This window comes from Homo sapiens, chromosome X, assembly GCF_000001405.40.
Source record: "Homo sapiens chromosome X, GRCh38.p14 Primary Assembly".
NCBI classification, from domain to species: domain Eukaryota; kingdom Metazoa; phylum Chordata; class Mammalia; order Primates; family Hominidae; genus Homo; species Homo sapiens.
The window spans coordinates 18205317-18220631 of NC_000023.11; the positions used below are offsets into that span (position 1 = coordinate 18205317).

General features: G+C 41.5%; 1 protein-coding gene across 5 annotated transcripts in view; it reads right to left on the bottom strand.

The window, feature by feature from the left end:
- BEND2 (BEN domain containing 2) overlaps window positions 1-15315 on the bottom strand; it is a 57956-nt gene that overhangs the window by 42386 nt on the left and 255 nt on the right. For all 5 annotated transcript variants that reach the window (XM_017029266.2, NM_153346.5, XM_011545447.2 and 2 more), the window contains exons 2-4: window positions 11205-11417; window positions 8458-8595; window positions 7249-7364 (exon numbers count right to left, since the gene is read on the bottom strand). In XM_017029266.2, coding sequence (XP_016884755.1) covers window positions 7249-7364; window positions 8458-8595; window positions 11205-11417 — 467 coding nt within the window. The remainder of the gene's footprint in view (window positions 1-7248; window positions 7365-8457; window positions 8596-11204; window positions 11418-15315) is intronic.

The following is a 15315-nucleotide window of genomic DNA, read 5'->3' on the forward strand; positions in this document are numbered from 1 at the left end:
ACTTTGGGAGGCCGAGGCAGGCGGATCACTTGAGCTCAGAAGTTCGAGACCAGCCTGAGCAATACAGCAGGACTCCATCTCTAACAAAAAACAACAACAACAACAAAAACTCCGTCTCTAGAAAAAAAAAATACAAAAATGTAGCCAGGCATGGTGGCATGCACCTGTAGTCCCAGATACTTGGGAGCCTGAGGTGGGAGAATCACCTGAGCCTGAGAAGTTGAGGCTACAGTGAGCCATGATTGTGCCACTGCACTCCAGCCTGGGCAATGGAATGAGACCCTGTCTCAAAAAAAAAAAAAAAAAAAAAAAAAAAAAGCTCCTGTCCTAGAGGAACTGCCATCTCAGCTGGGAGAGAGACAAGTAAAGAGAGGATTCCAATAGACAAAGTGATTAGCAGCCTGGAACAGTGGTTTGCAAAGTGGTCCACAAACTGGCAGTATCAACAACACCTGCAAGAAATTAGAAATGCCAAATTTCAGGCCGTACCCCAGACCTCTGGAGTCGGAAACTCTGAGAGTAGGAGCAGTGGTCTATGTTTTCACAAGCCCTCCAGGTGATTCTGATGCTCCCAGTGAGAACCACTGGGCTATGGCACTGAGGTAAACAGTGCAGGCTCTAGGGGAACATGGTTGGGGTCAAATACTAGAGTCCAGCCACTTATTGGCTGTGTGACCCTGAGCAAGTTACTTAACCTCTCTGTGCTTCAATGTCCTCATGTAGGGAATCGGGATGAAAATCTCTCTCAGGGTTCTCTTGAGGACAAGAACCTTGCCATAGTATTAGGTTACTACTAACGGTAACAACACTACACTATGCCCAGTCCAACAGTGCTCAGTGGTCTCTTCATGTTACTATTGTTATTACCAGCGCCATGACACAGGCAGGAACAGGAGGCTAAGCATGCACAGAAGAGTGGGCCTAACCCAGGCTGGCAGTCATGGAGAGCTTTTCAGAGGAGGTGAGGTCTGAGGTGAGAATTAAAACATGAGAAGGAGCTCACCAGGTGAGGATGCATGGAAGGGTTTACAGGATAGAAGAAACAGCAGGTTCAAAAATACCCAGAGAAAAACAGGAAGCCAGATGTGGAGACAGCGAGTATCAATGACATTCCAGGAGCGAGGCTGTCATGGGAAGGAGAGAGTGAGGATGACAGCAAAGGAGGGATGGGAGGCAAGAGAAGTGGCTTCTCCAAGCTGTGGGAGAACACGTAGAGGGGAAGGAGGGTCAGGAGCTAGAGCCAGAGGAGAGACAGAGGGACGCCCGATTGGGGGCAGCTCTGAGTTCGGGGAGGGGACTAGATGCAGAAAGCAGCAAGGATGTCAGCCCAGGCCACTAGAATAGTCGGGAAGGGGTCAGAAGAAGGGCGGGGATGGGGGCAGTTGGTTGGCTGTGGGGACAGATATGAGGAGTTGGAGGAGAGGACTGCCCTAGGCGCTCCACTGTCTCCAGGAGTGAAGAGGCAGGACTAGAGGGCTGAGGTAGGCCGGGGACTGCCAACTGAGGGCGTCCTCCTCTGCTCCCAGCTAAGCAGGACGGAGGTGGACTCAAGAGGGAACTGGTATGAAAGAACAAGGCAAGCTGCAGCGCCACCCCTGTGATCTAGAACGGGCAGGGAAGGAAAAAGCCAGCCCCTTAGGAGCAATGGAGAGGAGCCATTGGGGCCATTTCAGGCTGACCATGGCCCTAGGCACCTCCCCCCACAGATGCTGCCTCCCACCCCAGTGTGCAGGCTTGCTGAGGGGGACCCTGGCCTAGCAGTGCAGGGGGAGGTAGGCTAGGGAGAACCTGCTCCCTCCCTTCCCAGCTCGCCTCTGCACCCACTTCCCCCCAAGACTGCATGTGTCCCTTGGAAGCACTCCGCTTCTGTTCTCCCCCATGATCATGATAAACGCCCAAACAATTTTACTTTCCAAAATATTTTAGCTCATTCCATTCAAGAAACATTATATACGGTAAGAAACATTTTTTTTAATAAACCTTCATTACCTCTGGCTTAGAACTCAGAAAATCCCCGGTAATCACATCTTTACCAACATGGTGATTCTTACAACACCCCCTCAAAACCACCTAAGGTATGGTTCTTTACAAAACCTTGATGGGCTGCCATTTTGTTTCCATTGAGACATCTTGATACACATTCAAGCACATACTAAATTTCATCCAAATCAGCCAATTTCCTTTAAGGATTATTTTGGAGAAATTAAATGTGAAACAATCTAGATGAAAGAGGCTTAACTACATTTGATCAGTTATGGGCTTTTTTGTGAAAAAAAAAGGGGCTATAGAAATTATTTTTACTTCAAATTTTTCACCTTGGGATACTGTTCTAACTAGAAATTTTTTGAAAAATGTATCACAATGAGATGATAATCATACAGAACTTGACACAGCAAAATTTCTATTAACAGTACAATGGTGGTCAGGCACAGTGGCTCACGCCTGTAAGCCCAGCACTTTGGGAGGCCGAGGTGGGCAGATCACCTGAGGTCAGGAGTTCGAGGCCAGCCTGGCCAACATGGCGAAACCCTGTCTCTACTAAAAATACAAAAAGTAGCCGGGTGTGGTGGCGCACGCCTGTAATCCCAGCTACTCGGGAGGCTGAGGCAGGAGAATCGCTTAAGCCCGGGAGGCAGAGGTTGCAGTGAGCTGAGATCACACCACTGCACTCCAGCCTGGGCAATAAGAGCGAAATTCTGTCTCAGAAAAAAAAAAAAAATAGTACAATGGTATTAAATGTGATTAAAAATTTTTTTGGCTCAGTATTTCAGAAAACTACATTTGAGAGACAGAACTTCATACTTTACAACAGTGTTGGAATCCAGAAAGATGGTTTCTATCATTTTCATCACAAGAAACTTCATTGTTCTATTAACATTCTAAAAAATAGGCCAGGTGCAGTGGCTCACACATATAATCCCAGCACTTTGGGAGGCCGGGGCGGGTGGATCACAAGGTCAGAAGATTGAGATCATCCTGGCTAACACGGCGAAACCTTGTCTCTACTAAAAATACAAAAAATTAGCCGGGCGTGGTGGCACGTGCCTGTAGTCCCAGCTACTCGGGAGGCTGAGGCAGGCTGAGGCTTGAATCCAGGAGTAGGAGGTTGCAGTGAGCCAAGATTGCGCCACTGCACTCCAGCCTGGGTGATAGAGCGAGATTCCATCTCAAATATATATATATAAAAAATAAGTAGTCAATGTCTTAATATCACTAGGAGCCAAAGTAAGCACTATAAAAAGAACAGTTTAAATATTTATATTTTTAAATTCTTTTTGTTTCTCCCCTATGTTCCAGAGGATTTCAGAAGTCTTATAAAGCCAAGAAAAAGAGAATATGAGAATAAAAGAGCTGATTAATAAAGGAGGTAGGCAAAGAAGTTATTATATAAGAACCTAGGTTTAAGAAAAGCTACTGAATATCAGTATGAACATATAGTTTTAATATATAGCGAGACTGAAATATAGATGTATGTGTGTGCATGGATTGGGATACCTACATTTATTTCCTAGTTCTGTCCACTGAGAAGGCCTAGGATCAATGACACAAGAGGAGCAATGAACACACCTAGTGTCCAGATCTCGGTTTCTAAATACCAGTCTCCAACTAAAGGAACCGGGGCTCCTTAGAGAACAGTTTAATTCCAGAGCTAAGACAGGGAAAGTACAGATGAGCCTAGACTATCTTGTGATGTCAGAAAACAAGTGAGTATACAAAAAAGGCAGGGACAAGTCAAAAGGCCATGGGAATCAACTGAAGGAGCTCCCAATAGCCAAAGCTGGAAAATTTGATCAATGAAGAAATAATTACAATACTGGATTATAACTCATACAATGCAATAAATGTCCATGAGTCAATATTAATATGAATATACATAATTGAATAAATAAATAGGAGATAAAGGACAGCTCTCCCTTGCAAATGCATTCCAATTAATAAATCCAGAAGGAATGAGGGAGACAGAGAATCAACATAAGGCACACACCACAATAATGGCTGCTGCAGGTAAAATCCATGCATGGATACTAACTTGTCTTGGTGAGTTGAAGAGAAACAGGATATTAGCAGAGTCTCAAAATCCCCTGCCACCCAAAATCTTTATCGTGGGCAATGGGGAAAAATAGTAACTTTACTGTGGAAAAATCTGGAAAACATCATGTTAACCAAGTGATCAATGTTAACATCACCAATAAAAAAAATATCAACACCACCTATCCCCCAATATGATTCAATGAGGAGATAACATCACTCATGTGTTACTCTCTTGCCAAAAATGCATAATCTCGATCTATTCAAGAGAAAGTATCAGACACACCAAGATCGAGACATTTTATAAAATAACTGAGCAGTGGTCATCAATAGTGTCAAAGTCATGAAAGACAAGGAAAGAATAAGGAGCTGTCACAGACTAGAAGAGGCTAAGGAGACACAACTAAATTCAATGTGGGATACTAGATTTTATCCTGGAACAGAAAAAGGACATGGGATTGGGTAGGAATGGCAAAATTCAAACAAGGACCACAGTTTAGCTAATAGTACTACACCAATGTTCATTTCCTGGTTCTGATAACTGTGCTGTGATTATTACAATTACCATAATTTTAAGTTATACATGTAAGTTAACATTAAGGGAAGCTGTGTCAAGCATATATATGAGAATTCCCTGAAATATTTTTGCAACTCTTCTGTAAATCTATAATTCTTTTAAAAATTAGAAAAGCTAATGAAACTGGGTACAAAAATGCTGTGAATTTCCTACTAGATAAGGAAAAGAAGGAAACAAAATGCTTCAGAGCTCATTGTCTAATGAAAAGAAGCATACAGATTCAGGAGAGAGAGATATTTCCTTCAGCCTGAGTTCAGAGTAATTCTGTAGTATATATGAAGACTGAAAAAGAATTCAAATTGCTTTCTTGGAATATATTTGGCAATGAGCATTTAATATTATATAAAGATTCAAAGTCTGGTATACATTCATTAATGATACTTCCACCTTCTTCACAATCAAGTATTCATGTTATTGTCTAAGGAAAAATTATTAATAAACCAAAAGAACATATGAAAGAAAGAAAAGTTCAGAACTTCCATTTCATTTTCAAGAAGCACCTAAGGCCTATTTGTGATATCAAAGGACCTTTGCCCATCACAAATCCTACAACTACAGGAAAAGATATATTTGCAGAATTGTGTTCTCATTAACCCAGCTACACTTAAGACACCATTTTCATCAAGCTTAACCATTTATATACTTCGTGGTAGATAAACGAGTCTTCTAGCACCAGAACTGCTTTAAAAGCAAGTATTTCTAACCATGAACAAAGAACCAAATCTTAAATGGCTTTTGATTTTCAAATAAACCAACAGTGACACTCTGTGGACAAGACAAGAAACACTTAACCATCTATTTTTCTTGATAAATTAATCTGTAAATCATCTTAAAATATTTTTTGGAGTAAGGCAGGGTATAAATAAGTAAACAGACAGTAAATAACCATTATATTTCTGTATAATTATTCTAAAGATGAATTGTGGGCCATAAAAATAATTTTAATATAAACATACCAAGGAGTTACCTACTTCTTTGTTTCAAAATACATGATAAAAAATTAATCGAATTAGCCCAGCATTACAAACTTATTAGATGGCAAAATTATATCAAATTATAATAGATATTAATAATTGTAAACAAAATATTACCATCTTACCCTTGTATAGTGCTTCATGCTTTCCAAAGTGCTTTCAGATAATTATGTACAAAACCATGACACTGGGCAGATAATTAGCATTATCCCCAAAAATGAAAATATTGAGGCTGATAGAAGTTAAGAATTGCCTACACTACTTATGTGGCACTGATATCCACATCCTCATGTAAGTAAACAAATACATTTTCTGTTAAGCCAAATTATATATAGTTTAATAATCTATTTTATTCAACTTCAGAGGTCAAAAAGCACAGGAGAATATAGTGGTAATGTAAAACAGTATGACCACTTAGAAAAACTGGCAATTTCTCATAAACTTTCACCTACCCCATTACCTAAAACTTCCACTCTCAGGTATTTACCCAAATTAAATGCAAACATAGGTTCACAAAGAGACTGCCATAAGCATGTTCATAGTCACTTTACTCCTAATAGCCCAAAACTGCAAACAACCCAAATGTCCATCAAAAGAATGGACAGGCCGGATGCGGTGGCTCACGCCTGTAATCCCAGGACTTTGGGAAGCCGAGGCAGGCAGATCACCTGAGGTCAGGAGTTTGACATCATCCTGGCCAACATGGTGAAACACTGTCTCTACTAAAAATCCAAAAATTAGCCGAATGTGGTGGCGGGCTCCTGTAATTCCAACTACTCAGGAGGCTGAGGTAGGAGAATCGCTTGAACCCGGGAGGTGGAGGTTGCGGTGAGCCGAGATCGTGCCATTGCACTCCAGCCTGGATGACAGAGCAAGACTCCATCTCAGAAAAAAAAAAAAATGGGTAAGCAAATTATGAGTATTCATATGACAGAATACCACTCAGCAATGAACAGGAATGAAATATTAATACTATGAAACAAATCTCCAAAACATTCTTCTCAGGAAAAAAGACTATGACCCAAAACAGTACATACTGTACAGTTCTATTTATGTGAAGTTCTAGAACAGGCAAAACTCATCTAGGATGGAAAAAAAAATCAAAATATATTTCCCCCAAAGTTAAGGGAGATGGGGACTTACTGGGAAGAGGTCCCAGGCCACTTTCTAGGGTGATGAAAATGTTTATTACTGTCTTTTTTTTTTTTTTTTTTTTGAGACAGAGTATTGTTCTGTCACCCAGGCTGGAGTGCAGTGGCGCAATCTCGGCTCACTGCAACCTCCGCCTCCGGGGTTCAAGCGATTCTCCTGCCTCAGCCTCCCGAGTAGCTAGGATTGCAGGCATGCACCACCACGCCAAGCTAATTTTTTTTTTTATTTTTAGAAGAGATGGGGTTTCACCACGTTGGCCAGGCTGGTCTCAAACTCCTGACCTCAGGTGATCTACCCGCCTTGGCCTCCCAAAGTGCTGGGATTACAGGCATGAGCCACTGCGCCCAGCCAAAATGTTCATTATCTTCATGGGGTGTAAGTATACACATTTATCAAAACTCACTGATTTGTGCATTTTACTGCATGAAATTCAACTCCATTTTTTAAAAAGAAATACAGCAGAATGAAAAGAACAAAGAGAGATTTTCACTTTAATAAACAAACCATAATATCTACCTCTGGAGTATAGAATCTTCCTCTTTTTGGAAAATCCACTTCCTCTGAGTTGTAACTGTATCTTCTTAAATGTACTGGGTGGTTTATCTGTGAAACTATTTGGTCACCATGGGCTACTGTGAAGCAATGCATTAAAAAGTTATTTCATACACTACTCTCTTAATAACCTTAATACGGATATGCTCTCAGAATGCTAACTCAAATTGAATTGGACTTTGGGTTGAATTTTAGAGTGACAAAACAAGAATTCTTCCATGACCAATTTAGAGTAACTATTTTAAAACTGAAGGGCTATATTACTTATGACTAGGAATAAGAATCAAATCAAACACAATTACAAACTGTGAAGTGACTGCTTAATAACTTAAAGCCTACATAGTAAATGCTGGAAACAAATGAACAAGAGAACGCAAGGGCTAACTGCTTTTGTAAAGGAGCCCCCAAAAGGCCCTTGACTAAGGAGATGGCATTGTGTCCAAAATGTAAGCCAGGAATCTATTCTAGATCGGACCCCCACTGCTATGTGAGCTGGGCAGACCACTAGAGACACCACCTCCTCATCTGCCAGGTTAACATCAGTTGAGATGATCTCTAAGGTCCATTTCAGCTTTCAAGTTAGGATTGCCTTATTAAATTTTATATTAATCCTAAATAAATGGATGTGAAATGTAAGCCAAACAATCTAGAATTAGGAAGATCTGGTTATGGCTCTGAGTCACCTAACTACGGAACTAGAAGAAGACATTGGCTGCAACAGTATTGGATTGTATCTTGTACTAGAGATTTGCTTTAAAAGCCTGCATCACAGTTACTGGGAGTGACACTTTAATGAAAGAGCTACTTCACTTAAACCTTCCTGAGCCAGGGCAGTAATGAGAGGCACAATTAAGGGATTCAAGTTTCATCTCTTTCCTGTTTCCTTTCATTCTATAGTGGAGATCCTAATGACCAAGGACCCAAAAGAGAGAAATCAAAAGGGGATAAAGAAAATGGGAGAACTAACTCTCAAGTTAGATAAATGCAGACTAATGTTATATAGAAATATCAAGTTATAAAATCCCTCCAGGCTAGACCCGGTGGCTCACACCTGTAATCTCAACATTTTAGGAGGCTGAGGCAGGAGGATCACTTGAGCTCAAGAGTTGGAGACCAGCCTGGGCAACATAGCAAGATATCATCTCTACTAAAAATAAAAATAAAAATAAATACCTGGGCATGGTGGCGTGCGCCTGTCATCCCAGCTACTGGGAAGGCTGAGGTGGAAGAATTGCTTGAGTCCAAGAGGTTGAGGCTGCAGTGAGCTGTGATCATGCCACTGCACTCCAGCCTGGGTGACAGAGCCAGACCCTGACTCAAAAATAATAAGAAGAAGAAAATAAAAGATACAATAAGATACCTCCAAACTGAGCTGTAAATTCAACCAAATTCTATTTTTTAAGCTGTTTTTTTTTTCTGACTATAATGCAAGCTATAAGTAATTACATTCTGATGTATTCAAACAAAGGAACTATACAGCAGTGAGAATAAACCAACTATTGCAGCACATAGCAAGAAGTAAAAAAAGCCAGACACAAGCCAGGTGTGGTGGCACGTGCCTATAGTTCCAGCTACACAGGAGCTGAGCCAGGAGGATCAATTGAGCCCCGGAGTTCAAGTACAGCATGGGCAACACAGTGGGACCCTGTCTCTGAAAAAAATGCCAGATATAAAAGAGAGTATAGCATATGATTCAATTGGTATAAAACTCAAAAACAGAAAAAAGTAATCTATGGTGGGAGAAGTCAGGATAGTGGTTACCTTACAAAGAAGAGTAGTGACTGAAAGGGGGTGGATAGGATTCTAGGGAGCTCATAACCTTATATTTCTTGGGATGGGTGCTGGTTATATGCATGTATTACTTTGAAATTTATTTAAGCTGTATATTTATGATGTGTGCATATTTTGTATGTCATAGACTTCCATAAAAAGTTCACCTATGGCCGGGCGTGGTGGCTCATGCCTGTAATCCCAGCACTTTGGGGGGCTGAGGCGGGCGGATCACTTGAGGCCAGGAGTTCAAGACCAGCCTGGCCAACAATGTGAACTCCTCTCTCTATTAAAAATACAAAAATTAGCCAGGCGTGGTGGTGGCAGCTACTCAGGAAGCTGAGGCAGGAGAGTCACTTGAGCCCGGGAGGCAGAGATTGCAGTGAGCCGAGATCACACCACTGCACTCCAACCTGGGCGACAGAGAGAGACTCTGTCTCAAAAAAAAAAAAAAAAAAAAAAAAAGAAAGAAAAAAAAATTCACCTAAAAAATTCAGCTCATTACAAATAATTCAGAATCTAAATAAAAAGAGAAAGCAATCCATCAGCAATAAATATTGTAACCTTTAAATACATTTATTTATCTTACTCATATATTTTTAAGCAATTTTGTGTGTCATTTATAATTTTAAAAATATTTTTAAATGCCTGCATAATATTCCATTTTATGGATGTCCAGAGGTTCTGTTATCTGTTTTCCACTGTGGGACATTTATATGGCTTCTAATTTTTCACTATTTTGATATAATGATGTGTATACATTGAAAGGCAAACATTTATCATTTTAATCATTTGTAAGTATACAATTCAGTGGCATTAAATATATTCAGGTAGTTGTATAACTATCCTCACTATCTATACCCAAAATATTTCTATCATCCCCAACATACACTCTGTACCCATTACACAATAACTCCCCCTCACCTCAGTCCCTGGTAACCTCTATTCTACTTTCTGTCTCTATGATATCAGATGTTCTATAACACACTAAAGAAGTATCCTGCTAGCCCTGCATATAGTTTTAAAACCAAAACAGATAAGTGGTATCAAATGACTTTTTTGGTATCAGATCAGGGATCAGCAAACCACCACCTGTGGACCAAATCCACTTTGCCACCTGTTCTTGTATAGCTCATAAGCTAAGATATTATGGACTTTTTTTACATTTGTAAATGATGGGGGGGAGAATATTTCATGAAATGGAAAAATTATAGGAAATTCAAATTTCAATGACCATAAAGTTTTATTGAAACACAGCCACAACCATCTGTTTACATATCAGCTGCTTTCATGCTATAAAGGCAGAGTTAAATACTTAAAGCAGAGAACTTATGGCCTGCAAAGCCTAAAATATTTATTATCTGGCCCCTTACAGAAAAAATTTGCCAGTCTCCAACATAGGCAATAACATTTCCATGTTTTAAAGAGAAGAAAATCCAATTCTCTAAGCAAAGGGCAAAGAACAAATTGTCATACAGCTAAGGAAGAAATATTCCAAGGAGTTAACGTCTCATGGCTCTCTGTACAAGTGAGGATGTGGATGGTCTCACATTTCCTAGAGAGCCATTCAAAGGACCAGTGGCTATAGCAGTTCTGGTTGCAGGACTCCACTTTCCATGGGGTCTTGGATGCTAATGTAAATTTCAAATTCCAATTGTTTACTGTTGGCATGTAGTAAAGTGATTAACTTTTGTATATTAACCTGTTTCCTGCAACCTTGCTATAATCACTTATGACTTCCAGGAGATTTTTGTTGCTTCTTTGAGACTTTCTACATAGATAATCATGCCACCTGCTCCATGGACTCTTGACTCAAGCTGTTATTCCTAGAAGTTCAGTTTTAGCTTTTTACTTTTGCATTGCCACCAAATTGTTACAATTATAGTTGCCAGATATAAATAATTGTTCAAAGACAGAGAATATATTCTCCCCAATGCTTCCTGGGACTGTCTCACACAGAACAAAGGAGACATGGCAAAGCTTAAGTGAAGGGAAAATGCAAGCAGAAGTAAACATTGTGGTATTACCATGAAGCTAAGCCCTCTGGTCATAACTAATTACTGTAAAGGTTACAGGAATATTTAAGCAATTTACTGGAAATGGGGACCAGAGAGTAAAATTTTGCCAAGGATGAAATTTAACAAAATTACCATATGACATTTGGAGTGGACGGTGATGGCCATCATTGCCGCCTGGAAAATTTGGTTGTGTGGCTGTGTCATCAGTGGGATTATCTGCTGTGACATAAGTGGAATCATCTGCTATGTCATTAGTGGAATTATCTGCTGTTTCAGAAACTTCCACCATCTCAATACTGCAATCATTGTTATCATCACTGTCGTCGACAGTTATAATAACAAAATCTAAGAATAAGCAAAGAGGAAGATTAGATTCAATATCACATTAAATAAACAGTTTCTTGAGGAAGCTACCTTATAAAGTTATAGATTGTTTAAAAAACATATTTTAGCTGAAAATTTGTATTACATATTTTTATATCTGTAATCATTACAAGTTAGTTAATGAACCAATAGTAGGAAGTTTTGAAGTATGTATATATGTATGTATGCATATACACACATAGACTACTATCTCTAGTACTTCCAATTTCGTAGAGCAATAAATTTCTTCTCATTTAAGAAATGTGGCCAGCTGGCCCATGCCACAGTGTTCAATGATATGCTTTTAACTTAAACGATGCAACTGGTGTTAAGTAGACATACTTGTGGTGACCATGAAGTTCTAAATTTGTTCTCTAAAAACTAATATTAATGTCTATGATGACTGATAATGCAGAAATAAAGTGCAAAAGTAAATGTTGTTATGAAATGAATTAAAACTGAATCTCACAAAATGTGAAATAGGTAATGACAAATATACCAGATGTGAAATATCAACTAGGTAAACCATTTTAATGAATATGAAAACACATTATGCAAAATGTCCAAGATCAAAATAAGCTTTATTTCTTAAAGCTGGCCTGAAAAAGAACACATTTAAGCTTGAAGTATTCACTCACAGACCACATTTAAACTACATCATAACTTGGATTTATTCTATTTATTTCAAATAGACTAATGCAGGAGAATAAAATAATTAGCTAGTGTGAGGGGCATGTGATGATTTGAAAATGGTACTAAATTAGGAATCACAGAATGAAGGTTCCAATTCAGGCTCTGTAATTATCCAGAGGTATGACCGTTGGGCCAGATAAATTGACTCTTTTGCCTCTGTTTTCTCACCCGTAAAAAGTGGGGTTTTTTTAAGAGTCACTCTGAAGTCTACTTAATAGTCTTCATGGAAAAAAAATAGAACATTAGAAACCACCTAATTATCTAAACCAAAGTATTAAATAAACAAAAGCTTAAATAAATTTTGGTATTTCCCTGAGCTGGAATGGTATATTGCCAATAAGAAGTGTGTTCTCAGGCAGGGCGCGGTAGCGAACGCCTGTAATCCCAGAACTTTGGGAGGCCAAGTGGGGCAGATCGCTTGAGCTCAGAAGTTCGAGACCAACCTGGGCAACATGGCGAAATCCTGTCTCTACCAAAAAATAATAATAATAATAATAATAATAATAGAAAAATTAGCCGGGAGTGGTGGCATGTGCCTGTAGTCCCAGCTACTTGGGAGGCTGAGGTAGGATGGCTTGCACCCGGGAGGCTGAGGTTGCAGTGAGCCAGGATCCCGCCACTGCACTCCAGCCTGGGCGACAAAACGAGACCCTGTCTCAAACAAAAAAGAAAGAAAGAACAAGAAGAAGAAGAAGCATGTTCCCAAAGAAAATGTACTAATACTAGATATGCTTGTGAAATAAAGTTAAATAAAGTTAAAGGGGAGAAAAGGATTCAAAACAGAAAAATACAGTATAATCCTAACTTTGAGAGCCAAAGGTAACATACCAATGGTTATCTAGGTGGCTATTACTGAATAGCAAATTTATTATCATTAGACTTTTCTGTCGATTCTGTACAAGGAACTTTAGATTCTGTCATCAGAAGAAAATAACCAAGGCAACTGAAAGTGTATTTTTAAGACAAGCTTTTGTATATCAACAGATCTTTCAAACTAGAGCTAGTAAAGCTATTGACAACACCGCTAAGGTTTCTCAGTAAATATGTAAAAGTCCAATCAGTTCTTTTAGGTGTACACATAACTTTCCCAATTAAATTTTAAAAGACATTTTAACACTTAGAAATTGTTTGAAGATGGCCGGGCGTGGTGGCTCTCACTCGTAATCCCCGCACTTTGGGACGCCGAGGCGGGCGGATCACTTGGGGTCAGGAGTTCGAGACCAGCCTGGCCAACACAGTGAAACCCTGTCTCTACCAATACAGAAATCAGCGGGGCGAGGTGGCGTGCGCCTGTAGTCCCAGCTACTCGGGAGGCTGAGGCCGGAGAATCGCTTGAACCTGGGAGGTGGAGGTTGCAGTGAGCCGAGATTGCGCCATTGCACTCCAGCCTGGGCGACAGAGAGAGACTCTGCCTCAAAAAAACAAAACAAAACAAACAAACAAAAACAAGAAATTGTTTGAACATTATACTACCAAGGCGCAAGGCTTTCAATTGCCATCAACTCATCAGATGAGGCACAGCTCACAATGAGTTCTGAAAACGGCTTTTCACGCCGGGACCACTTTGAGGAACACACAGCAAAACGGGGCCAATTACAACAGCCAGACCGCTCCGTTTGTTTTAAGAACAACCACTTTCTAAACCTTCCTGCGGGACTCTCAAAGGCAGCCCTTCCTTTGCCGCCAGAACCGTATCCCATCGCCCAGCACTTGCCACAGGCCGGACAAGTGAGGCTCAAAAAGGCACCCAGCCCACGCCTCGCTTTAGAAAGCAAGGCGCAGCAAAGCTGCTGGAAAAATCGCTTTTAGTCAACCTGAAGCCAGTTTGCCGCACTCGGGGAGAGCCGGGAGGGACGCGATCCGCCACCAGCCAAATCAGGGCCTTTCCTCTTAACGACCACGCGGCAAGGGGGCCGGGCCCTCGCACGCCTCGACGGCCTCCCCCACTCCAAAGGGACTCCGATTTCGCAGGATCTCCCAACTTCCGCCTCTGTTCCCAACACCCTACGTGTTTCTCTTCCTCCTCATTTACGTATTTACAATAAAACAGCGAAGCTGCACAGTCTGTCTCTAAATCAAACTCGGTTACCATCAAAGCCTCAGACTCTATGTCTCAACCGCAAAATGTCTGACAGGAAATCAACTCGGGAATTTGTCAATTCTTTAGACTCAAAGCTCTCACCCAGTGGGGTGGTTCACGCCAGTAATCCTAGCACTTTGGGAGACTGAGGCGGGAGCATTGCCTGAGCCCAGGAGTTCGAGACCAGTGTGGGCAACATGACGAAATCCCGTCTCAACAAAAAATACAAAAATTAGCCGGGCGTGGTGGTGCACGCCTGTAGTCTCCGCTCCTCAGGAGGCTGAGGTGAGAGGACCGCTTGAATCCAGGAAGCGGAGGCTGCAGTGAGCCGACATGGCGCCCCTGCACTCCCACCTGGGCACCAGAGCAAGACTCTGTCTGAAAACAAAACAAAACAAAACAAAACCAAGCAAAAACAAAAACAAAAAACAACAACAAAAAACCTCTGTGAAAGTCTGAGTCATTCCTCATTCCTCGCCCCCCCATACCCCGCCTCACCAAAAAGAGAACAGCTGAAAAAGGATAAGCTCGTCCCAGAAAGTCAGCATCAAGTATCTAATAAGCTTCGAAATCTCAAAATGTAACCCACGCGGGCACCCCGGGAGAGGCGGCGGGTACCACCCAAAGCACCCCCTCAGAACACCCGGAATTTGAGGCTGTGCCCCAGCCGCTATGCCAAAACGCTGAACAGGGCTGTGTTCCGCGGCTGCCCACCAGGGAAAACCAATAAATTCAAGAAAAAGTGCGGCCGCATAGATCTGTATCGCCGGAGCCCGGCGTCGCGAGCGCCGAGATTGTTTCCCAGCCACTCGAGGCTCCGGAAAGAACCGCGGGCCAGAGGGCAACCAGGCCCAGCCTCTTGACGCACTCTCGGCACAAGCCCAAGTCACCCCAACCCTGAGCCACCAAGAGCCACGGAGACGCCATGAGCCTCAGGATCACCTCACGTCTCCGGGACATCTTGAGCCCCTGAGACGACCTGAACCCTGGGCCATCTCGGTCCACCACGCCAAATTTCCCACCGGCGCGCTGAGCAATCGGCGGCAGATGGCCAATACCCAGAGGCCGCCCCCCGACACGCCCCGGTCAATGACTAGCCAATCCTGC